This window comes from Homo sapiens, chromosome 1, assembly GCF_000001405.40.
Source record: "Homo sapiens chromosome 1, GRCh38.p14 Primary Assembly".
Taxonomy (NCBI): Eukaryota; Metazoa; Chordata; class Mammalia; order Primates; family Hominidae; genus Homo; species Homo sapiens.
In genome coordinates this window covers 66,210,772-66,234,846 of record NC_000001.11, presented here as the reverse complement: position 1 = coordinate 66,234,846, position 24,075 = coordinate 66,210,772, and the positions used below count along the sequence as shown (strand labels likewise).

The following is a 24,075-nucleotide window of genomic DNA, read 5'->3' as shown; positions in this document are numbered from 1 at the left end:
AAGAAAAAGCAAATAAATCACAAAGGAAGCAGAAGGGAAAAAATAAAGATAGAGCGGAAATAAAAGAGAGAGGGAGAGAGAGATCAGTGAAGCCAAAACAGGTTTTGAGTAATCAATAAAATTGACAAACCTCTAGTCAGACTTACCAGGAAAAAAAAAGAAGAGATACAAGTTACTGAAAGAATGAGAGAGGAGATAACAGGATAGACTCTAAAGATACTATAAAAATAATAAAGAATCATAAAAAAAATTATACCAGGCTGGGCACGGTGGCTCATGCCTGTAATCCCAGCACTTTGGAAGGCTGAGCCAGGCGGATCACCTGAGGTCAGGCGTTTGAGACCAGCCTGGCTAACATAGTGAAACCCTGTCTCTACTAAAAACACAAAAATTAGCTAGATATAGTGGCATGCACCTGTAGTCCCAGCTACATGGGAGGCTGAAGCGGGAGAATCACTTGAACCCGGGAGGCAGAGGTTGCAGTGAGCCAACATCCTGCCATTGCACTCCAGTCTTGGCGACAGAGCAAGACTCCGTCTCAAAAATAATAATAATAATTATGCCAGTACATTTGACAACTTCAATGAAGTGGACGAATTCCTTGTAAAACACCATCTATCAAAATTCACTCAAGAAGAAAGAAATAATGTGAATAGGTCTGTATCTATTACAGAAATTGAATTTTAAAGTTTAAAACATTTCCATAAAGAAAACTGCATGCCCAGATAACTTCACTGGTGACTTCTGCCCGAAATATTTAAAAAATTATACTGACTCTACACATCATTTTAGAAAATTGAAGAGGAGGGAATATTTCTCAACTCACTGTATAAGGTCAGGGTTTCTCCCATATAAAAATCAAAGACAATCACCCAAAAGAATAATATCACCATAAACACACATGGAACAATTCTTAACAAAATTATATCAAATCAAATCTAATAACATATGAAGAGGATGACACCTTATGATTAAGTAGGGTGTATCCAAGGAATACAAGGTTGTTATAACAGACAAAAAAAAATCAATGTAGTTCTCCATGCTAACAGACTGAAAAACAAACCAACATACATGTAATCACATAATTAGGTGAAGAAAAAAGCATTTGATAAAGTTCAACATCCATCCTTTATACACACACACACACACACATATATTTACATATCAACCAGGTAAACGGCATCTGTGAAAACTTTCAGCTGACATTATCCTTTAAGATAAAAGACTGAATTATTTCTCTATAAAATTAGGAACCAGGTACGAATGCCTGTTCTTTCCGCTTCTACTCAACATTTTACTGGAGGTTTTACCCAGTGCAATAAGGAAAGACAATGATATCAAAGCAAATACACTGAAAAGGAAGACATAAAATGATTTTTATTAATAGATGATATAATAGTCTATGCAGAATATTCATTGTAGCATTGGCATAGTAAAAAAAAAACTGGAAACAATCCAAATGTAACAGGTGAATGGATAAACAAATTGTGATATACCCATACAGTGGAATACCACTTAGCAATAAATAAGAATGCACTACTGACAACTGCCGTAACATGGATGAATCCTAAACTAATTATGCTGAGTGAAATAAGTCTGATAAATAGAGTACATAATGTATAATTCCATTTATATAGAATTCTAGAAAATAAAATCAATCTATGGTGACAGAAAGAAGATAGGTAGTTTCCTGGGGGGAAAGGGGTGGTGTCAGGGAGAGGTGGGAGGGGTTGCAAAGGGAAACTTTTGGGTTTGATGGCTATATTTATTATCTTCAATGTAATGATAGCTTCATAAATGTATATGTGTCTGAATTGTACACTTTAAGAAGTGCATTTTTGGCATGTCATTTGTACCTTATAAATACGTGTTTTAAAAAGACTTGTGGTTATTCCATGCACCCCTGCATCCATTGCCTCATTTTCCGGCAATTCTTTTTAAACAAAACTTTCTAACAAGTTGTCTTTATTGCTGTCTCCATTTCCTTAACACTTATTTTCTTCTCAACACACTAGAATCAGGATTTGGCCCGCAACACTTCATAATAAATCCCTCTGGTCAAGATCATCAGTGGCCTACGTCTTGTCCAAACCAATGGTCAATTCTTAGTCACTATCTTTCTCAAATATCAGGAATATTTGACCCAAGTTATCCTTCATTTGACTTTCAAGGTATGTCTTGTCCTGGTTTTTCTCCTATATTCTTGGCTTCCTAGGTCTTTTTCCAAACTCTAACTTTTTTTCCAATTCTAAATGTTGGAGGGCCCCTGGGCTCAGCTTTACGCTCTTTTCTTTTTCTACACCGATTTCCTAGGTGATTTTATCAAGCTTTTATCATGATATAGAATACTATCTATTTACCAATCCTTCCCTAATGTGTTTAAAACAATGAGAACTACAGAAAAACTATGATGAATGACCAATGCAGCTAGACAACAAGGCTAGCACACTGTATATCCCCAAAAGGGCAAAAAAACATTTTAACAGATAAAGGTCTGAAAATGTAGTGCTGATGCCAGGTGCTTCAGGAGAGGCGCCCGGACAGAGCTTTGCAGTGTATTTGAGGCACTGTCTCTGCACTGCTTTTGCATATCACTGCCCTCTGCTCTGCTGGTAATCTTATGGAAAATGCATCCAATTTCTATAAAACTACTTAGCATTGATCTTGCATCTGAGGAGTTTCAGAAACGTCAACATTCCAAAAATAAATGGTATGATGATTCTATTAAAGCTCAGTCTCCAGGCTTTGCTGTTCTTTGCCATTATTTTTAGAAATTTAATCTTCTTGTAATTTAAACCAAATGCCTATGAGCAGGTCTTAGCTTGCCCTTCATCGGGCTGGACAGTCCCCAATTTCATTCCCCAAAGCCAAATTAAGGTGGAACCAGTCAGGTTTGGGAGATGGCCTCACTATGACAGTATCCTTGAGGAACTGTCACAATCCTTTACCTCACTCACACTTGACCCACACATGGAGTATAAAACTCCTGAATCACCGTGATAGGCTTTGATTTTTCTTTCCATAGGAAGCCTTTCAAAAGAGGGAAATAAGACCAGTGTTTTGAAGTGAATAGAGAAGTCTTTACTTTTTAACCAATGTGAGTTCATTTTCCTCTTCAGATATCAATACCAATTTAAACACCTGTTTTTAAAGAAGGCATTGCTATTTTGCAAATCCATCCTTTGAATAGTTACTGCCTTCAAATTTAAGTATTTGAGGAAACACATTTGCAAAGCATTTCTTTTAACTGCTTCTCTTAGAAGCCTGTCCTTGGACTCACTCAATCACCAACAGTAAAACAAGTCATTTGAAGGGTTGATTTATTTGATACAGACATCCCTGAATACTTCTCAGCTCTGTCAATAACTCCATTTCCTCACTTCATCTTTTCACAACCAATTCTCTCAACATGGATTTCCTTTTTAATACTCAATTATCTTAACTTACTGGTAAATTACTCAGTTGAATCAAAACATCAGTTTGAGTAATCAAAAGGACAGAGGGCTCTTCACACAGTGTTGCTGACTCACATATTTCTGACTCACAGATGGATTACTGTTTTCTGTGCCACCTCAATAATGTGACATTACTTGGACAAATAAAAACCAGTACCTTAAATGGTCTAGCTGAGTTTATTGCATGTAGCTTCTCAATGTTATTAATGAGTCACTTAAATTATTCAATATTCTTCAATATGTTTTAAAAAATTATATTCTGAATCATGACCATTCTACTCTAGACAAGGAAGCCATAATATTCATTTCGTTTGCCATGCTGGTTTTACAATTTAGGAATTTTTTTTTTTTTTTTTTTTAGACAGATTCTCGCTCTGTCACCCAGGCTGGAGTGCAGTGGTGCAATCTCGGCTCACTGCAACCTCCGCCTCCTGGGTTCAAGCAATTCTCTGGCCCTCAGCCTCCTGAGTAGCACATGCCACTGTGCCCCGCTAATTTTTGTATTTTGAGTGGAAGCAGGGTTTCACCATGTTGGCCAGGCTGGTCTCAAACTCCTGACCTCGTGATCTGCCCTCCTTGGTTTCCCAAAGTGCTGGGATTACAGGCGTGAGCCACACTGCACCTGGTCAGGAACTATTTTAACATTGAATTGCAAGATGCTTCCGGTCATTTGTTATTTAACGTTAGTAGGAGCAACTTTTGTTCTTACAACAAAAATTGAATTTAGACGTAAGAATTTTCTGTTTTGTCTGTTTAAAGGCTAACGGTCTTTGTGATGCGCAAATTAAATCTCATTGCTATCTTGGAAAACAGAAATGATAACAGAAAATGTCACAAAACTTTCAAATTTGCCTTGGAATCCCTATGGTAGGATTATTATGTTTGCTTTGCATTCAAGGCAATTTTTAAATTTTTTGATTTTTTAAAGTTGTAAACACAAAGTATAATTTAACTCTCCTGTGTCAAAACCTCCAATACATCATCATTGCCAACAGAAGAAAGATCAAACTCTTCTGCCTGGCAGTCAAAATCCTAATGGTATGATTTGAACTCTACCTTCAAAGCTTATGTGCCACCATGGCTTATCTAACCTTTAATTGAGCTGGATCACACGCTCTCCTAGAGCTTTATTTACTCATTTCTGCTTATGTTCTTTGTACTCCAAGACTATCTCTCCATCTAGAATATCATTTTTGACCTTTCCACAAATTCAAGTCCATATGTGAGCAAGAGCCTAGGACAGGGGCTGCAAAAACCAGGAATTAGGGCAAATTAAGCAACTCTGTGGAAGTGACTGCTTAGAAACTTCCAAGCTTCCCTTTGTTGTCAGCCTCATTAGAAATACTCAGAGTGACTCCAGGAGTCCTATATAGAAGAAAATGATTGCCCTAGGAAAGATCTGTAATACTTGGTAGTAATTTAATGAAATGGATCAGGACGAGGCTTTGGCTTGAGGCAGACCTGAGTTTGAATAGAAGCTCTGTCATTTGCTAGCTAAAGGGCCTTGGATTTAACCTCTCTGAGATTTAGTTTCCTCGTGTATAAAATAGCAATAGAAGAGAGAGCTAAAAGCTTGCTGTGAGGATTAGATTAAATAATATGTATAAAGATTTAGAAGTTCAGCTCTGCAGGGTTTTTTTTTTAGCCACACGAGCACAGGATAATGTGGTAGAATGGAAATGACAGTATGGTTTATTTAGACAGAAGGCCCGAGATTCTATCATTACTGCCCCAGTCTCTGAAATGTAATTCCTCAAAATCTGTAGATATCACATAAGAGACCCAAAAGTTCTCATGTGCTGAGGTGTGGAGTAGGGATTTAGTGAAGAGTTATGAACCCCCATGTCTATGAAACAGTGGTGGCTGCCTTGTAACAGAGGCTCTGAGGGGGATGGCTCAAAGCCAGGAAGCTGAATAAGTTCATGGAAGATTGGTAACTCAAAACGAACAAAATTGTGGATGGCAAACACTGAAGTGGCTGCCTTAAAGGCTCACACAATCTTTATGTCCTGCTCTGCCTGAGGCTGAGAGTGTCCAAGTGGCATAGTTCTGGCCAATGAGATGCAGGTAGAAGCCTCTGGGGGGCCGGGCATGGTGGCTCACGCCTGTAATCCCAGCACTTTGGGAGGCCGAGGCGGGCGGATCACGAGGTCAGGAGATCAAGACCATCCTGGCTAACACGGTGAAACCCCATCTCTGCTAAAAATACAAAAAAAATTAGCCGGGCATGGTGGTGGGCGCCTGTAATCCTAGCTACTCAGGAGCCTGAGGCAGGAGAATGGCGTGAACCCAGGAGGCAGAGCTAGCAGTGAGCCAATATCGAGCCACTGCACTCCAGCCTGGGCGACAGAGCAAGACTCCATCTCAAAAAAAAGCCTCTGGGGAAGATGTTCCTTCCCCAATATTAGGTCAGACCTTATGAAATTGCCATTTTATAGGTTAAAAATAGCTGAAAAATAAGCAATTTCAGGCAGTGCAGACTATAGAAGACAGACTTTACAACATAGGAGAACTCTTTATCTTTTGCTTTTTACCCTTTCCTCGTTTTTTCTGCCTGAAATAGGGAACTCATAAAAAATCAGTAGCAATAGTATGGCTTTGAGGATAAGCACAAGGATGGTAGAAAAAGAAGATAAGAGGATTCCGAATCTTTGGTGACACACTGAGTCGTGTCAGGCCTTAGACTATCTACCCTTGAACTTCTTGTTGCATGAGACAAATAAAGCCCTGTTTAGTCACTATAGCATGTTTTTTTTTTTTTTTTTAACGGAGTCTTGCTCTGTCGCCCAGGCTGGAGTGCAGTGGCGCGATCTCAGCTCAGCTCACTGCAAGCTCCGCCTCCCGGGTTCATGCCATTCTCCTGCCTCAGCCTCCTGAATAGCTGGGACTACAGGCGCCCACCACCATGTCTGGCTAATTTTTTGTATTTTTAGTAGAGATGGGGTTTCACTGTGTTAGCCAGGATGGTCTTGATCTCCTGACCTCGTGATCCGCCCGCCTTGGCCTCCCAAAGTTGCATGATTTCTTATATTGCAGCTAGAGACAACCCTAATGCATGTCATGGGGCTGAGTCAGCAGGCAGAGGACCAATGGATCTTTACTGATAGAAGAATTGACTCCAGAGAAACTGGCTTCAGAGAGTATAGTGTCTCTCCGAATGAGCCGGGGTAAAGGAAGGGAAGGGAAATAGTGCCAGGAGAGATTTAATTTTGAACAGGTGGTCAGGTTAACAAGACAGATGTCTGGGGGAATGTCTAGGATATTTGGGTGTCAGGCTAAGGAAACAGCAAGTGCAAAAGCAAGAGCATGCCTAGTGTATTTGAATAACAGCAAGTAGGCCAGTGTGGCTGGAGCAAAGTGAGTGAGGGGGTGAGTAGCAGGAAATGAGAGTGGGGTACCATGAAGCCATTTCATACAAAGCTTTCATAAAGCATGTGTGAGAAAGACAAGGACTGATGATGATTACAGGGTGTTATACCTGGGCAATCAAAAGGCCCGAGATGTCCTCAACTAAGATGAGGAAGTCAGCAGAAGATTTGGGTTTGGGGTAGAGATCAGATCATGTCAAGTTTGAAATGACAGACATCAAAGAAGAGATATGAAATAGGCATATCCATAAAAATGTGGATTTCAGTGTAGAGCTAACCATTTCAGCTTCTTAGAAATGCTACCTATGTTGGTAAGTCAGGGGTAGTCCATGCAGGTATGTACATTTTCTTTGAAAAGTGAAAAAATAAATCTGTGTTTGTATCAATCTGTTCTCAGTCTCCTGTAGAGTGATATTTAGCTGGGAGAGCTGATGTTAGGAATGTGGGAGGGCTAGGTGAAGTAATATATACAAAAGGCATATCTCAGAGTAGATGTTCAATAAATAATCCCTAATATATATTGTATATTTATATTTTTCTGGACACTTTGTTTAGCACTTTGCATATATCATTATTTAATCTTCACAATCAATTTATGAGGTACATAATATTTTAACCTGATTATATAGATAGGGATCCTGAGGTCTAGATAACTTAAGAATTTTGCTCAAGGTCACAGAGCTGTTAAGCATCAAAAACTGGATTCAAGCAAAGATCTTTTTACTCCTGAACCAGTGTTCTTAACCTATGGTCTGTACCAAAGACACAAACTTAGAAGCCCTTAGGGGTAATGTAAATGGATGCAGTGACTCATATATCCAGTGCCTACACAACTTTACACATGGATGTCTCGTATGCATCTTAGACGCCACATGGCCGAAACAGAATTATTTCTTTTCCCAACTAAGTCTGTTGCTCATTCAGTCCTTCCCTTCTCAATCAATGACACTCTTGTCTAGCCTGTTGCTCAAGCCCAAAATCTGGAATTGTCCTTGATTCCTCTCTTTCCTTCACGAGATGCATTTAATACATCAGCAAGTCCTGTTGGCTCTATTTCCAATGTCTGTCCTATCCTTGTAATTCTGTTCACTTTAATAGTTCCAAACCTCACTCAAGCTATCATTATCTGTTATGAGGATTTTTTTCAACAGTCATTGATCTTCTTGTTTCCATTCTTTGATTCTATAAACTATTTTACCCACAGTAATCAGAGTAAACTTTAAAAACTATAAACTAGATCATGCTTTAAAATCTTCCATAGCTGTCCATCACATTTAAAATAAAATCCAAAATCCTTACGATAGCCTATAAGAATTTCCACAATCTGCTCTCTGCTTTCCGATCTCATTTTATACAATTTTCCTTCTTGCTTCTATTTTGCACTGACTGTTCTTTTCTTGCAACAAACCAAACTTTCCTTGCCACAGGCTCTTTGACCTTGCTGTTGGCTCTGCTTAGCATCCTCTCCCTGATTCTTCACAAAGTGGCTCCTTCATATTATTGATTCCTCAGAGCAAATGCCAGCTCCTCAGGAGGGTTTTCTGGTCTAGTCAATCTATAGTTACACCTCCTTCTGCACACTTTTCACACCACATCATCTTATTCTATTAACTTAATTGCATTTCTCATTATTTGGAATGTTCTTGTTTGTTTATTTGTTGCTTCATTTTTAATCAGTATCTCTCCATTAAATGCAGGCTTCATGAGATTTGGGACCTTGCTATCTTGTTCCTGCAATATCTCTAGAGCCTAGTACAGTGCCTGACCTGTAGAAGACCCTCAACAAAGATATTTTAAATAAAACTGGTCAGACAAGAGATAGAAAGATAATAAAAAGTGATTGTTGGGGTCTTGGTGAACTGAATGCATGCTCAGCTTTAAAAAATTAAGTTAAAAAAATTAAAAGCATTTTGCTAGACAAATCAAAAGGTCTGTTGGAATTTCTAATTCCTGCACTGCACAACTTCACTTCCTGACCCTCACACCAATTCCACAAGGCTTAGGACCTGAAGATACAGAAGCAGAATGACAATGAATTTCAGTATGCACATAAGCAAGTGTTTGCCCTAGGTCTGTAGTGTTTGCACCAACAGAAGAAATAATCCAATGAGCTAGGCTTTCTTTAAGACAAACATGACACATACAATGAATGTGTTACTTCTCCCAAGGGGGAATTTATTGATGAGTTACTAATCCATTAAGCAAATAAACAAAAATAAGAAATTGGAAATGCCAATAACCAGGAAAACAAAATAAAACAGGAGACTCAAAGAACAGTATAATTTACAAAGTTAAACACAGGGTGATTTTAAAAAGATTTCACAGCTGGATTAAACATCAAATATCCCTGCCCTGGTTACTGGGCCCAGGTATTCAGTTTAGAATTTCTAGAGCCCAAATCTAGTTGAATTCTGGCTGGAACTGTGCATAAGACGTCTTGCTCTAGAGCCCATCAGGAGAAATGCCATGGGAGCTGGTATACCTGTGCCTAGGGAGAAACAGACCTTCATTGAATTCCATTCAAATCTACTTAATGAAGGTCAAGGAGCTCATATCTCTCAAAGACTCCCATTATAAAATATGTGGAAAAATATCTGAGTTCACTTCAAAAACGCAGGAATTCTTAGAAATATTATCGACTGAGAAGAGTAAAATGAGGATTGATATTGTGCCATGAGTTTTGGCAAAAGTGAGAATATTGAGAATGTAGTTTCCATTTGGGCGTAGCAGACCCAAGCCTGGCTGAAGTGAGTTGAGGTGAGAACGGGGGGTGAGAAAATAAAAACAACTTTTAAAAGAGCTTGACTGTGAAGCAGAGGCCAGACATGACACAGTAACTGGAGGAGGTTGCAGAGCCCATGTAGGCTTCTTTAATGTCATGTTTTTATGTTTGAGAGAGAGAGAGAAATTGATGATCAAGGTGAGGGAGGAGACAGATGCAGGTGCAAAGTCCTCGAGGAGCCAAGGTGAAGTGGTGTCCAGAGTACAGTGGAAATGCTGGATATGGTTCATGAATTGTGTCCAAAGAAAAGGCAGAACACATTGGTAGATTCGGTGACAGATAAATTAGCTCTCTTGTGATTTCTTCTATTTTCTCAGTAAGAATGCGACAGACGGGCATAGTTTTGGAGGTTTAAGTAGAGATGAGATGACATAAAATAGTTGTTCTGGAGACTAAGAGAGTGACTTGACCAGAATTTGCAATAAAATTGCAGAGTAACATTGACAGCTCATCTGAGATTTGTGGTCATTAGTTTAGAATGAGCTCGAGTTGTTTGCTTGACTATTATTATTATTATTATTTTTGAGGCAGAGTCTTGATCTGCTGCCAGGATGGAGTGCAATGGCACAATCTCGGCTCACTGCAACCTCTGCCTCCCAAGCTCAAGTAATTCTCCTGCCTCAGCCTCCTGAGTAGCTGGGATTACAGGCACACGCCACAGTGCCCACGTAAGTTTTTTAGTTTTAGTAGAGACGGGGTTTCACTATGTTGCCCAGGCTGGTCTTGAACTCCTGACCTCAGATGATCCACCTGCCTCGGCCTCCCAAAGTTCTGGGATTACACGTGTGAGCCACTGTGCCCGGCTGCTTGACTATTTTTCTCCAGCCATTTTTTGCTGCACTTGAGCCAATTCTGGGTAGGCAAGAATTGATCTGACCAGCTCCGAAATTTTGCCCAGAATTTTGGTGGGCACCTAAGTGTGTTTAGGAAGGAGTAATTTTAATGACAAATACTTACATTTAAGCTTGGCAAAGAAAGAAGTGGAGAATGTGTGTGAGAGGGGTTGAGGGGAATGGGGAGCAGCGAGAAGTGGCAGAGTCTATGAGCTGGAAGTCGTAATGGAGTAGAAATCTAAGCAGTGGAAAGAGATGCGCTGGAAAGATGGGAAGTAAGAGTCAGGCATCAAGTGGAAATGCTTGACATCAAGATTTTGGAGACAGTTGAGTTACTGGTAAGCTAAAAGGTGTAAGGTAAACATGGGAGAGGAGATGGCTTAGTTGATGTGGAAGAAAAGGTTATTCAAAATGATAGCAAATAACTATAAGACCAGGGTATTGAATGCATCATCTACATGCACGTAGAAGTTATCACAAATGATGCCACCATTTGTCACGGAGACAAAGAGTGAGTCAGATGCTGCAATATTCAGTGAATTCGAGGGTGTGATCCAGAAATCTGTGGCTGACTACATCAAAGAAGGGTAGCAGGTGTATAGTCTGATGGCATGCACTTCAAAAAAGCAAGGTTTTTGAGAAAGGTAGGGAATAAAATGATCTCTAAGTGGAGGGCCCTCCTCTTTCTCTATGCACTGCAGTGCATTGAATGTGGGGCTGGGGGGGAATGAAAAAAGAACACTGCAAGTGTAGCTCAGAGGCCAAGGGAGAGCCAGGTGTCAGTTGGAGCAAGGAAAGGGAACAATCAGCTAGGAGTCTAGGGATGGAGGAAATCTCCATGATTTCCAGATTCAGAATTTCAGCAGCACTGTGGAAAGGTTAGGGAAGATTCATTTATCTTAGGAAATGTGTCAAGCCTTATGGAGCAAAATACTAAAATGATTATGGGAGGCTTGGACTACTGAGGATAACTGAGGGAAAATTGAATATGAAGCAAGTTGGAGCTAGTTCTGATGGCCTCTCAGGGAAACTGAGTAATCAACCTAAATACAGCCTTTTCCTTAAGGTCCTGTAGGCTGTTTGTTGTGGTGGGCAGGGAGTTCAGACATCACCTCCTTGAGGGTGTTCTGTCTGAGAATCTTATCTGACATGACACTAGCCATCCTTCTCTATCTCGTTTTCCTGTGCATTTTTCTTCACCACATGCATCACTACCTGAAACTATATTATTTATGTATTCATTTATTTGTGCCTCTAAAATGTGTTTCAGGAAAGAAAGAAACCTTGTCGGTTTTTGCTTATTGCTGAATTTCTATGATCTGGAACACACCTGGCACACATTGTGTGAACACTCAATGGATATACACTAGAGTTAACGTTTCGTTAAAAAATAATAATGAGGAACTATCATATTTGAAGTATTCTGAGTTCACAAGCAGAAAAACAAAACTATTTAAATTATCTTTTATTATTCATTTACTTTATTCTTCTTTATAAAAAATAATGAAAAGCCATTAAGATGCCAATTTTTCTTTTCCCAAGGAGAAAGGCTTTTACTAATAAGTGACTGCAAATCTTTGTGATGGAGAGAGGGCTAGAGGAACAACTCACATTTCTTGAGCGTCTATTCTTATGTCAGGAACTAAACTGGGAGCATATTTTTACATATATCATATCATTCTTACAACAATTCACAAGATAGGTTTTATAATATTATTCACATTGAACAATGAGGAAACGAATGATCAGAGAGGTTGAATAATTTGCTCAAGATGATACAGCTAGTCAGCATAATTGTTAACATTTGGATGAAGTCCTAACTGAGTTTAAAACTTTTATCTTCTCCTTTAGACCATAAGATTCTACAAAAAGCAATGGGAAATGAACAACTGGAGGCTGCATGGGTGCTCTGAACGCTAGGCCTCAGGAAGATAGTAGAAAGGAATCAACTTTTACTAGGTGCTTATTATTTACCAAACCCTTTTGTTAGAAAATGCACACACATTACCTCATTTAATCCTCACAACAATACCAAGAATTAAATATTGTCATTAAAGGCAAGCAACCTTAGTTCAGAAAGAGATATTACATTTACCCTTGAACTAGTGTAGCCATGTGATTAAGTCCTGGCCAATGAAATATAAGCAGAAGTTGTTGGGAAGAAACTCTAAGATGTTTTAGGAAGACCACGTACAGCGAGAGAAAACCCTCATTTGCCTTTCTGCTTTTACTCCTTACTCCAATCTGTAACATCTGGCCAGATGGCTGGCCCTCCAGCCGTCATGATAACTTCTAAAAAGACTTGGAAATTGGAAGCCAGAGCTAATATGGTAGAACAAAAAGACAGAGGAGGCTGGGTTACTGATGACCCAGCCACACCAGACCTGGCTTTCCTTGGCTTTTATGTGGGATAATAGACCTTTTTCTGTTTAAACAACTGTTATTTTAGGATTTCCAGCATATTCAGCCAAAACTCATCCTAATTAATACAGACATGGAGATAAAAAAAAAAAGTCAATACACTCAGTACCTGAAGTTCATCTTTTCAAATTAATTAAGGGAAGAGGATTCAATAAGCTTTCAATAATATTAGCCAAAGGGAACAAAGAAAGATACAAGGAGTGATGACAGAGGGTGGGAGGGCCAGAGGGATAAAAGGAGAAAATATTTTGGAACTGAAGTTCCTCAATGATCTTATCTGTTTGTGTATCAAAGCCCCAAAGAATAGGAAAGAAAGCAAAGAAAAACATAAAATATATAATGAGGACACTTGGTTTTGAATATTATTCTGTCACTGAATTACTATGTGATTTGGGAGAATTTACCTGATATGTTTAATCCTAAATTACCTAATCTATAACACAGTTTTAATACTGCCTGTATATTTCAGAGTGTTGCTGCAAAGGTTAAGTTGAATATGTTTTACATTTTTTATAAAAAGTAAAGTACCATGGATTTATTTTTTTGGTTGCTGGGCATTCAATTCCCATTTTTAACAATATCTCTCTATGCCCTTGAGCAATTGTCTTTCCTATTACATAAAGTCTGCTGACATAATAAATAATCAGGGGGTCTACACAACCTAAACAAGGGGCTTGCATGTGATCCGAGGTAGGTCAAACAAGATGCCCTATCTGTGGAATTTAAATCCCAACTAAAGGGCAAAGAGGCTAGAAATGGCTGGAATTTCTCTTTATCCTAGGAGGGTGGCCACTTTCCAATGGTTTTGGTTAGGAAGCCTCTCTGAAGGGTCCTGCTTTTTCTCTCTAGGGCTGCCTTGGTTCTTGCCTATTTCTAGGGCTGGCTCTCCAGGTTTGCAATGATTGTAGGTGCTCCCAAAATCTTTTCAATAAATTCTCCTTTGTTTAAGTTTATCAAAGATAATTTATGTGGTATGAAATAAAAAATCCTAACTGAAATATTAATATATGTTATATAAATATTGTTATTGCTACTGCTACTTTTAATAGCAGTAAAAATAATATGTCTGTTTACTACTTTAGACAGAAATAGCCAAGTCTTGATTGGACAAATAAATGAAGATATCAACTTTATGTCATTCCTTGGAGCCCTGGCAACATTTTCAACTTCTCTTGTTCAAGAGACTATCAATTCCAATCAATGTTATTACCCATCTCCAGAAAGCTCTCAGCAACAGTTTTAAGGCACCTTTCTAAAGCTTGAAATTTGCCAAATCAGTCACAGTAAATCCAAGTCTATGCTATTAAAACATAGCAGCAGAGGGAAAAACGTTTAAGAATGTGAGCAAGGAAGGATAAATCACAGATAAAAAGATAAATTAGCAACCTAAAAGAGCAATGACTTAAAAAGGGAGGAGCCATTCTAATTTATAATGCAAAAGGCTCCACTGTCATCATCCATCTCAGCTTGCAAGCAGCATACAAGGCTTCTTTGCAATTTCAATAATCAGTTTTGATATCCACATTAAAAGCCCCTCAACTTCATACTGCATTAAGAGGATGCTAATGTACCAGGCTCCTGAATGTCTCCCACTTTATCCCTTGGAACTTATGAAGAGACAATTTAGAAACTACAAAATGTTTTCTCGCTCTAATGGAAGGGAGGTGAAGCTTAAAGAAAAGTACCTGAGTAAAGAAGTACTGAATATTAATCTAGATCCATAATGCTTTGAAGTAGAGGGGATCAAAGAGCATTCTTCTTATCAGCTACTCCTCTCTTCTTCCCAATAGCAAGTGAAACATCCAATCTTGTGAACTTTTTGGCTGCTCAGCCCCAGATCACCTCCAAGCCTCCAGATACTTCCCTCTTCTTTCCTTTTACTTAGTTTGTCCTGTAATTAAGTAGCTTTTTCCAGCTCTTGGAAATTTTCCTCTTGCCCTTAATTCCTTGTTGCCTTGGAGGGTAAATTGGCAGGCCCTTCTAGTTTTATACATTGTCATACTAATCACTATAGAAAAACTGTCAAGAAATCATAAAAATAATAAACTGGAGAAATGATAAATGTTTCCAGAATTGTACACAGTATGTTGTCTCTGCTGCTTCATTTCTAACTCCCTTACAGATGTGGTAACTACAAGTCCTGCTGAGTTCCTGCTCTCTAATTTTATTGTTAACAATGTGGCTCATTTTCATCCCTACTCTTTGATCTTGTTTCTCTGAAAGGTCATGCAGAATCCTTCCTCAATAATAGTCTTCTTGACAGTGTTTGATCTGAAGATCCCAATTAGTAGTTTTATTTGGATAATTTGAACTCTGTGTTGGCCAGGTGAAGTGACACCTCTTCACATGTCATTGCCCAACCCAGCCATCATTAAAACACCTTTCAGCATAAAAACATGGTGCAGAATCCAAAGGTAGAGACCAGGAACAACAGGAAGGGATAATGTTGTGCTTTGCACATTTCTTTGGATTTCAACTTTTCCCATGACTTGTTCTCTAACACCACAGGCAGAATGGAAACAGATAGCACATCTTCACAACTGAAACCACAATGTAAGAAAATGCTGTAATGTGCAAGGTGATTTGTATCAACTATAAAGTTGCTCTCTGTGATGATTTACTAATAAGTTTCAACCTCTGTGAAACTTCTATGGCACAAAGTAAAAGCAATGAATTCTTAGTAGCAGCCAACAGAGCTGAATGAGAAACATGCCACCTTCACATTATCATGCATTACATGTCTACCTATACTGCCACTAACCCCTGCCATCATGTTGCCCTCGCCACTGCACCATGTTCCAGGAGAAATCATATTAGAAAAATTTTGAGTTACTTATCTTTATTGAGCCTGTATTTGAGAAGCCATACATGGCTAAGCTCTCCATTATAGTAGAACCATGTGAGAATGGGACCCCTACATATTTATATACCCTAAGTGAGTGGTAACTTGACTTTATTTATTCAAACTGAGAAGACAGGAACACTGATGCTATCAAATACTGTTGGCAGAAATAATGCAGATTAGTAAATGCGATGAGAACATGATTTTTTTCTATAAACAAAACATAATTAAATCCCACAATTAAAACCCAATAAAACAGCTTTTTTAAAGATAGCTACAGCTATCCATCTGTAGCTGGATGCAACCATCCAACCAAAATGTATTTAACTCTATCGAATGCTAGGCCTTGTAATAAGTGTTAAGAGTGCTAAAATGAATAAATATCATCTCTGCTCTCAGGAACTGTAGTCTAGTGGTAGAATAGCATATGTACAAGGATCTAACAGCAGATTTCTTCCAAGATCATAGCATTTCTGAAGGGTGGGAAAGAGGTCCCAGAGGGGTCATGGAAAGATTAACATCTTCTGGGCTGGGGGTGGCTGGTGAGCACTGATATTGAAAAGGATTGATTATCTAGGAGGAGTATAACTTTTTGGAAAACAGAATGAAATGAGATCATTAAGGATATGGCTCATCTCCATGAGAGACGAGCTGTCAGCAGAAACAGCAGTAATCACTGAGCCCAAAGCATGGCTGGAGTCATCTCCCTACCTCCCTTCTTTGTACTTTCCAAACAGTTTAGAAAGAGATTGTGTAACTTTGGGGTTTGTTTCACAGTGAACACCTGGGACCACTTTCATTTCCCACTCATGGAGGCCAGTAAATTCCTGCCCTAATGACACTGTCCTTGGACTTCATGACATGAGGCCCTCTCTGTCACTGCATTTGAGATATCGGCCGACATCACTTAGGAGTAACCTAGCTTCCTCCTTGTCCTTAATTTGGTAGTTAGAAGCTACTATTTTGGAGTGCATTGAATCTTCCTGCAGTTCCCATGCACTAGATAGTAAACCACTAACAATTTGCACCCAACAGCTTTACAGAGGTGTTGGAAGGATAATCAATTACCAGGCTAATGCTGATTCCCCAGTTTTCCCTGCCTTCAATTTCTCCTCCATCAAATCATCTGCTATAATGTTGTCAGCTTAATCTTTCTATAACACATTTCTAAGTAAAACACTCCCTTCCTCAACATCCTTCAATGTCTTCTTACTGCCTATCAAAATTCTCACCAGCCAGTAAAAGTTCTCAATGATCTCGTCTCAAGCTACTTTTCCAGCCCCACTTTTTGTATGTGCATGTCTCTTCTCCCTAAACTTAAAGCATAATATATTGAAATATTGTTTGAAAGATCCCAGATACAGTTGCAGTACCAGGAATGTCAGTAGATAATAAATAATAATTGCGCAACAGAACCTAGGCCTTGATGGATAAATAAATTTTCTTTTACTAAATACAAAACTAATAAAAATAATTAAACAAATCATACAAATATGCAAAACAACTGAGCTAATTATTCTCCATTTGCCTCTCCCTATCCCCACCCTCCAATCCATTTTCCATCTTTGTGACCTAAGGGACTGACCATGGGTTCCTTTGCCCTTTGACTTTTGGTCGAGTTCAGCCAACAGGAGACATCAAAAAGAGACAGACAGGCAGAAGGAGAAAGATGGCAGTGCACCTCTCTTCTTGCTCCTTCCTGCTTGACACTGCAGCTCTTGTGGCTGCTGCATTTTATGCCACATTAATCATTTCTTCCTCCTGCTTCTTCAGGCCTAGCAGTAGTGACCACTTCCCACTGTTGCTAGTCATTGCGCATCTCAATATCCTTGCCTACACTTCTGTGAATACCTTTATCAAGTGTCATTTACAATCCCAGCCAGATGTACTTTTTTTTCTTGCCTAGCCAATGACAGCTACAATGCTGGGGTAAACACACAATGACTAAGTATAATAGCCTCAGATGGCCTTCATCTGAGGCTAATGACACACTTGGGAGAGGATCTGGAGAGGGGAAGCTGACACCACTACAAACCACTCCATTTCCCTTCTTGTACTTAATGACTTTCCTTATTTTTTATGCTGGGAGAATAAACTTGGAGCAAATGAAGCAGACATGATGATGTAAGAAGAGAGTAATTTAAGTTCGAGGCTTTATTTGATCTCAAATGCAAGGGAATTTATAACAGGCTGAAGTCTAGGGACATGATTTGTCCTCAGTTTCCCTTGCTGTGCATAGGTAATGAGGCTGAAATTGATAACACACTACCCAGAGAGTCACAGTCAAGTCCAGAAAAGAATTTGGCAAATTAATGACTGTGCTATTAAGACTGCTTTCTTTTCCAACCAGCCTCCCCTTCCCTGTGCCTGAAACGAGTTGTTTCTGCATCTCTTTTCCATTATTCTCTTGCACACCATGCACTGGCTAGTTTGGAAGTAAATATGTGAAATTCTGTTCCTAGCTAATAGCTGACTATGCTTTGAGACACTTTCAGAGGTGTCTTAAGAGAGCAGTCTCATGGCCAAATTGCATTGCTTTGTCTAATAATATGATGTGCTTTTGACAAAAGTAACATATAATATGTTCATTTAAAGACTGTTTGGCTAGGTCTACTGAAAATGAGTCCACAAAAGTGATGCAGGAAATTCAGAGGTGTAGTTGAACATTCACAACTGAGTACTCTAATACCTCTTTATAACAAAACTGTAACCAGTTTATTGCAAAATCTCAACTCTGTTGGGGATAAATTAAGAACGACTTTTTATTTTTTGAATTGCTTTCTTCAAATATACTGTATTCATCAGGAGTTCTACAGAGAAACAGAACCAACAGGAAATGAGGCCCATGCACATTGAGGAGGGCAAACTGCTTTACTTAACCTATCAATTGAAATAGATAGGATATTTTAAAATAAATAAAAATTATTTATATTATATTATATACATAATTATGTTATTTATTTTAAAAAATAAAATAGAGGGTATTTCAATCAGAAATACCCTCACCGACACACCCAAAATAATGTTTAACCAAATATCTGGGCACCCAGTGGTCCAGTCAATTGACACATAAAATCAAACCTCACATGGTTTTTGAGTTTCCCTTTGCTGTTACATTTCAATAACATCCCAGGCAAATCCCATGACTTTGCAAGCACTTTCAGTTTTGGAACTACATTCCATGCCACTTTAAAACTCCAATCTCATACCAAATGTCATGCTTCCCCTCACCACTGGCTCAACATTTGGCCTTTGCTCTTTTACTCATCCTGCCAGTGTAGCCCCTTGTGAGATGGGGACAGAGTCTGGGGATGTATCATCCCTTTAGCTCTCCTTTCAAGGCCTAACTCCAGAAAGAATAGGGGAGGCAGAGATATACTTAGGTAACTGTTCACTCATTGGTCCAGAAGAGTTCTCCCTGGCCTCTCTCTGGTTCATGGCCTCCATGTGGATGGGGCATTGCTTTACCTGGGGGCATGTTCAGCTTTGACTCAATCTCCTGTCTCTGAAGCCTCCTGCAGAAAGAAGCCATCATATTGCTCTTCCATCCCCAAAGGAATCTAAGCCCTTGTACAGCTGAGGGTAGAATATTATGTTACTTGACCAGCAGTAACATGGCCAGCTTACAACTCCTCCCTCCTCTGTAATATTGTATGTTTACCCTCTTGTGGAGTCATAGGAGCTACTGAAGCACTCTTCTTCCTTTTCTAGTATAGCATAGCTACAAACTAGGAGTTCTAACATCAACATCTAACATCTAACATCTTGGCATTATGTTACTGCTGGTTCTCTTATCACCTTCTAGCATCTCCCAGGCCTAGGATTTTGACCTATGAACCATCTTAGAAAAAATGATGTTCTTCACTGACTTTCAAAACTATATGCTTCTACAGTGAAAATATTTGCTAGCATTGGCTAATGCTAAAACCTTCCCATTGGCTTGTTGCCTATGACCTGCTAGCTGTTGAAAGAGATTTCTGAGGCATTCTGTTGCATCTTTTTGTACTTCCTGTGCTGAGCTTTGCACCTCCTGGGCTCTGTCTGCCTGTCAAAACACCCCATTACCTCATACTAAACTTTCCCTCACCTGTCATAGCAAGTTTCTACTGCCTATTTCTAGAGTCTAGACTTTTTTCTCTCATCTTTACCCACTGCTCTTCACTTTTTAACCCCTACCACACTCCAGTACCTGTTCTACTTCTGTCTAATTCCTGACTCTCTCATTGCTATTTACTTCTTCCAACAAGGTCATGATATGAGAGGGGATCACTTTCAGTTTTATTTAGTTTGTCTCAGGCTGCTGTTGCCAGTCAAGATTATTTTGGATCCTGAATTTGTCATAATAAACATTAGGTATTTATCCCAAATCTAAAGTAATGTCTACAATTTGTTAATGGGTTTTGGAGTAATTCAGACCTCTGCTTGAATTCTGGTTCTACCACTTGTGACACAGGGCAAATAATCTCTCTGATCTACAGATTCTTAATCTGTAAAATAAAGTTAATGTTAAAAAAATAAAAATAAATAAATTTGTTAATAAAGTTGGTGTTCAGATCAAGCAAGGCATATTTCATCAAATCTAAAATACTATTGATTTCAACACATACTTCTGAGATATTAAAATATAAAAGCAATGTGTATCATAGAATTGATGCAATAATATATGTGCAATCCCTCAGCCCAATACCTAACCAAGAGCAAGTGCTGAGAAAACAAGAATTCACCTCCAACTCCCTTGTGTGTGCCTTATTCTGACCTTACTGCCTTCTTCCTCTTCAAAAATCTCTCAAAGTTACAGGGAAAAAAAAGCCAGAAGGGAAAGTAATGAATGAATAAAAGATCTGAGAATACTTTTGATCTTTCCTTTTGCTTAAACAGAGGCTTTTCTTCATTTAAAGTCTAAATAGTACTAATCCCAGATGTACAGTTTCCTGTAGAAAATGCTTGTTCCACTTTTGGAGCTAGTAGACATTTCAAGAACCAAGATTCAAAGATAGTTTTTCACTTGAGAAAAATGGGATGTTGCTTAGCCTTCATCATCACATGCCCAAGATCATAGTGTGTTTCTTGCCACAGGTATGTTTGGCCTGATGTCTCATCTTTTTGATACAAAAATATTATTTTTTACTGTAGGCACCTGTATGGCTGGCAGAAAAGTTTGGAAAGATAAACAGTACTAGATTATAAAGAAGCGTTTGGTCATGCTAATTAATTCAAACTCTTCTCCTGAAAGTGATGGGAGAACATAGAAAGATTTTATGTAGTTATGAATGAGATAATCAGGTAATCATATTTCCACTTCCAAAAAATCATTCAGGGGCAATGTGATGAAAAACTGCATGAATGAAAAAGTAGAGCACTAAATCTATACTGGAGCCAAAATCCACAAACAATCTAAAATTCTAAGTGAAAATAAATATATGGTCAAGAGCAATGGTCCAAATGCAGTTTAACACAGGGTCATCCAGCCATACACGTGGTCTCCATCAAGTAGAAAAAACAATGGCTTTAATATATACAGCTGGTGATTGCTTACATATTCAGGTTTCAGAGAGGAAATCCTAAAAGTAAAAAAATGCAGAAACTGTGTTAAGGCAGTTCAAGAGACTCTATGTAGCCTACGATTTTGCAGTAAAAGTGATTATAGTGCTTAGTTTACATTGCTATAAAGACAGAAATGCTATAGGTATGTAGCAAAGATCTAGGGATCAAGATATTCCATGGAACACCTGGATATCAGGTCTGGGCACCAAAGATATTCTTTGTACTTAATAGGCATCTTAAGGTAAATCTTGAAAAGGATTTTAAGACTAATAATTTTCACCATAAAGTCTGAAAGAAAATACCTAAAAAGGTATTCTCTCTGAAGGGAGCAAAAACACTCTAAAGAAGAAGAAAGTCAAGGTATCTTGGTTCTTTCTTGAGACAATTATTCACATTATGCCACTGTAATATCATCTCCAGGAGATTCCTACAGCTTCCTTAGAAAGGAGTCTTCCTTTAAGAGTTTAATGACACATAAAGAAATATTGGCTAATTAATCATAGAGTCTCTGGAGACAAAATAAATGGGAAGAACCTAACTGGGGAAAAAAAAGAAAAAGAAAAGAAGGCTTGACTGAGCCACTGCTGAGAAAGAGGAGGAACAAAACTAGAGTGGACCTCCATAGACTTTGGAGGCGGTATGTACCACATTATGGTGTGCTGTTTGGACTCACTGGCCAGGTGACTTGAACAGCTGTTATCTTTGAGGGGTATCCAGAGGAAGAGAGGTCTCGTTGCTGTATTGTGCTGCAGCACAAGCAGCTATTCCACTTTATCCTTGTTATTGTGCTTGTCCTGTGATGCCATGTCGGGGGTTGTATGGAGTCTATAGCAGATCTCAGGGAGCATATATCATGATGGAGGTCACTAAGATTAGGGTCAGTTCATTGAATGTTTAATGAGAGTCCAGTATGGGCCAGGATTTTTCTAGGTGCTTGTGGGCACAAAAGAAATGACATCGAGGAGTTAACATTCTGGTGGGGGGAAAGACAATAAAATTTAAATGGTAAGTAAATTATATAGTATATTAGAAAGTGAAAAGCACTTTTACTTTTACAAAAAAGTAAAACGAGTAGTGTAGATCAGGAGTTCTGGTGAGAGAGGAGGGGAAAGCTAGGCCTCCTGGAGAATGTGAGATTCAAGCAAACGCTAGAAGAGGAGGGAGTTTTCACGTGGATATTGGGATGAGGGACATTTCAGACAGAATAACAGCAAGAGCAAAGGCTGGCATGGCATGAGGAAAAGTATGGATGCCTATGTACAGAAAGACAAAAGAGTAAGAAGGAAAGTGGATGTCAGAAAAGTAATGGAGGGTCAGGCCCATTGGGCCTTTACTTAGGTTATGAGAGAAAGAGGATGGAAAGGTTTGGTACCAACTGTAAGCAGATTCTGTGACATGAAATAGGGGAGGTCACCTAGAGTTGGCCATGAAGGACAGTGGGGAAGAGAAAGTTTCCCAGTGGCTGAACCTTGTGTGATATATCTTGGAAGAGGAGACTAAGGTCCACATCCAAGTTTGTTCATAGGCTTGGTAAATAGTTGCTGCTGCACAAAGAGGGCAGAGAATAATATTGAGGTATCCAAGGAATGTGCTGGAGTACTTTTGGATACTCCATGCCTGGTGGTAGAAAGCAAGAAAAATCTCTGTTTGTGAAATGCATTCAGGGTCTCAAGGGTTAGATTCACCAAGTATAAAGGTTTGGGTTTCACACTGGGTAAGAATATCCGCCAGCTGGGATGCAGGCTGAAGGCTTATCGGGTAACCTGGAATGAGAGACCTGATGATCAACAATGCTATGTTCTATGATACACTGAAAACATCACAAAGTTGGGATTAAAAATTTTCTGAAGCTTTCAAAGTTACGCAAACTTGGTCTGCTGCCAAATACTAGTTGTAGAACATTAGACAAGTTACTTCGCTCCCCTAAGTTACAGTTTATTTATAAACCAGGGCTAATTAAAGCACCCACGTGAAAATGCTGAGAGGATTAAATGAGATGATGCATGCATAGAACTTAGCAGAGTGTTATTTTATTATTAATAAACCAAAATCATTTACTCCATTATACAGCATTATTATTTAATTTGCCTTAGATAGGAGCATAGATAATTAATCTATAGGCAGGAAAGTAGAGTATTTGAGTGCAGGTCCTATCAACTGGGAGTCTGTGAAAGTCCTTATTGCTTCTGTCTACTCAGTAAATTAGAAAGAAGCATCATCAGCTGAGAGTGGGGATAGGTTTTGAGAGTTTAAAGAGAGGCAAAGGTGTGAAATACTCATCCAGAATTTAAGGAGAGAGAAGAGACTTGGAACGTATAATATGATTAGCTGGAGAAAGCCATGTCTTTTATACAAATAAGTTGCACCTGGATAGTGTCTGAGTATTAGGAGAGATTAAATCTATAAACCTTGTAATATTATGTTCATATCACGCGGAATTCAGGTGACCATGTGGCAAGGCTGTCCATGAATGGTACATCTTATCTTTTTACACTTCTTACAGTCAGGCATACCCTGCCCTGCTGTGCTCTGTCATCAGGAGGAACTGCTTAAGCAAGCCCTGATGTCATAATTAGAAGGCAAGTGCTTTTGGTCCACACCTCTAGGCTGCCCACTACTCTTGTTCTACTACTCTTATCCCACCCAGGTTGAGGACTTCTGGAAATTTCTTAGACACAACCATCTGAAGGCAAAAAAGAAATGGAATAGGTACTGGAAAGTGAGTCATGCATAACTAATATGGTCTTATGATCAGGAGCAGAAACGATGAGTCTAATGTCAGTAGCTGTGACAGCAGTGTCTGCAACAGATTGATTTTTTTTATATGACT

General features: G+C 38.9%; 1 protein-coding gene across 5 annotated transcripts in view, besides 1 other annotated feature; it reads right to left on the bottom strand.

Moving 5' to 3' along the window:
• PDE4B (phosphodiesterase 4B) overlaps positions 1-24,075 on the bottom strand; it is a 582,070-nt gene that overhangs the window by 139,733 nt on the left and 418,262 nt on the right. The gene's annotated exons all lie outside the window — the stretch shown is intronic.
• Positions 6,255-6,438: a silencer, noted in NCBI's record as "fragment chr1:66694092-66694275 (GRCh37/hg19 assembly coordinates)". NCBI's record gives its function as "represses an EF-1alpha promoter that drives an FKBP-Casp9 reporter gene in an ReSE screen in K562 erythroleukemia cells {active_cell/tissue: K562}" and the evidence as "EXISTENCE:reporter gene assay evidence [ECO:0000049][PMID:32094911]".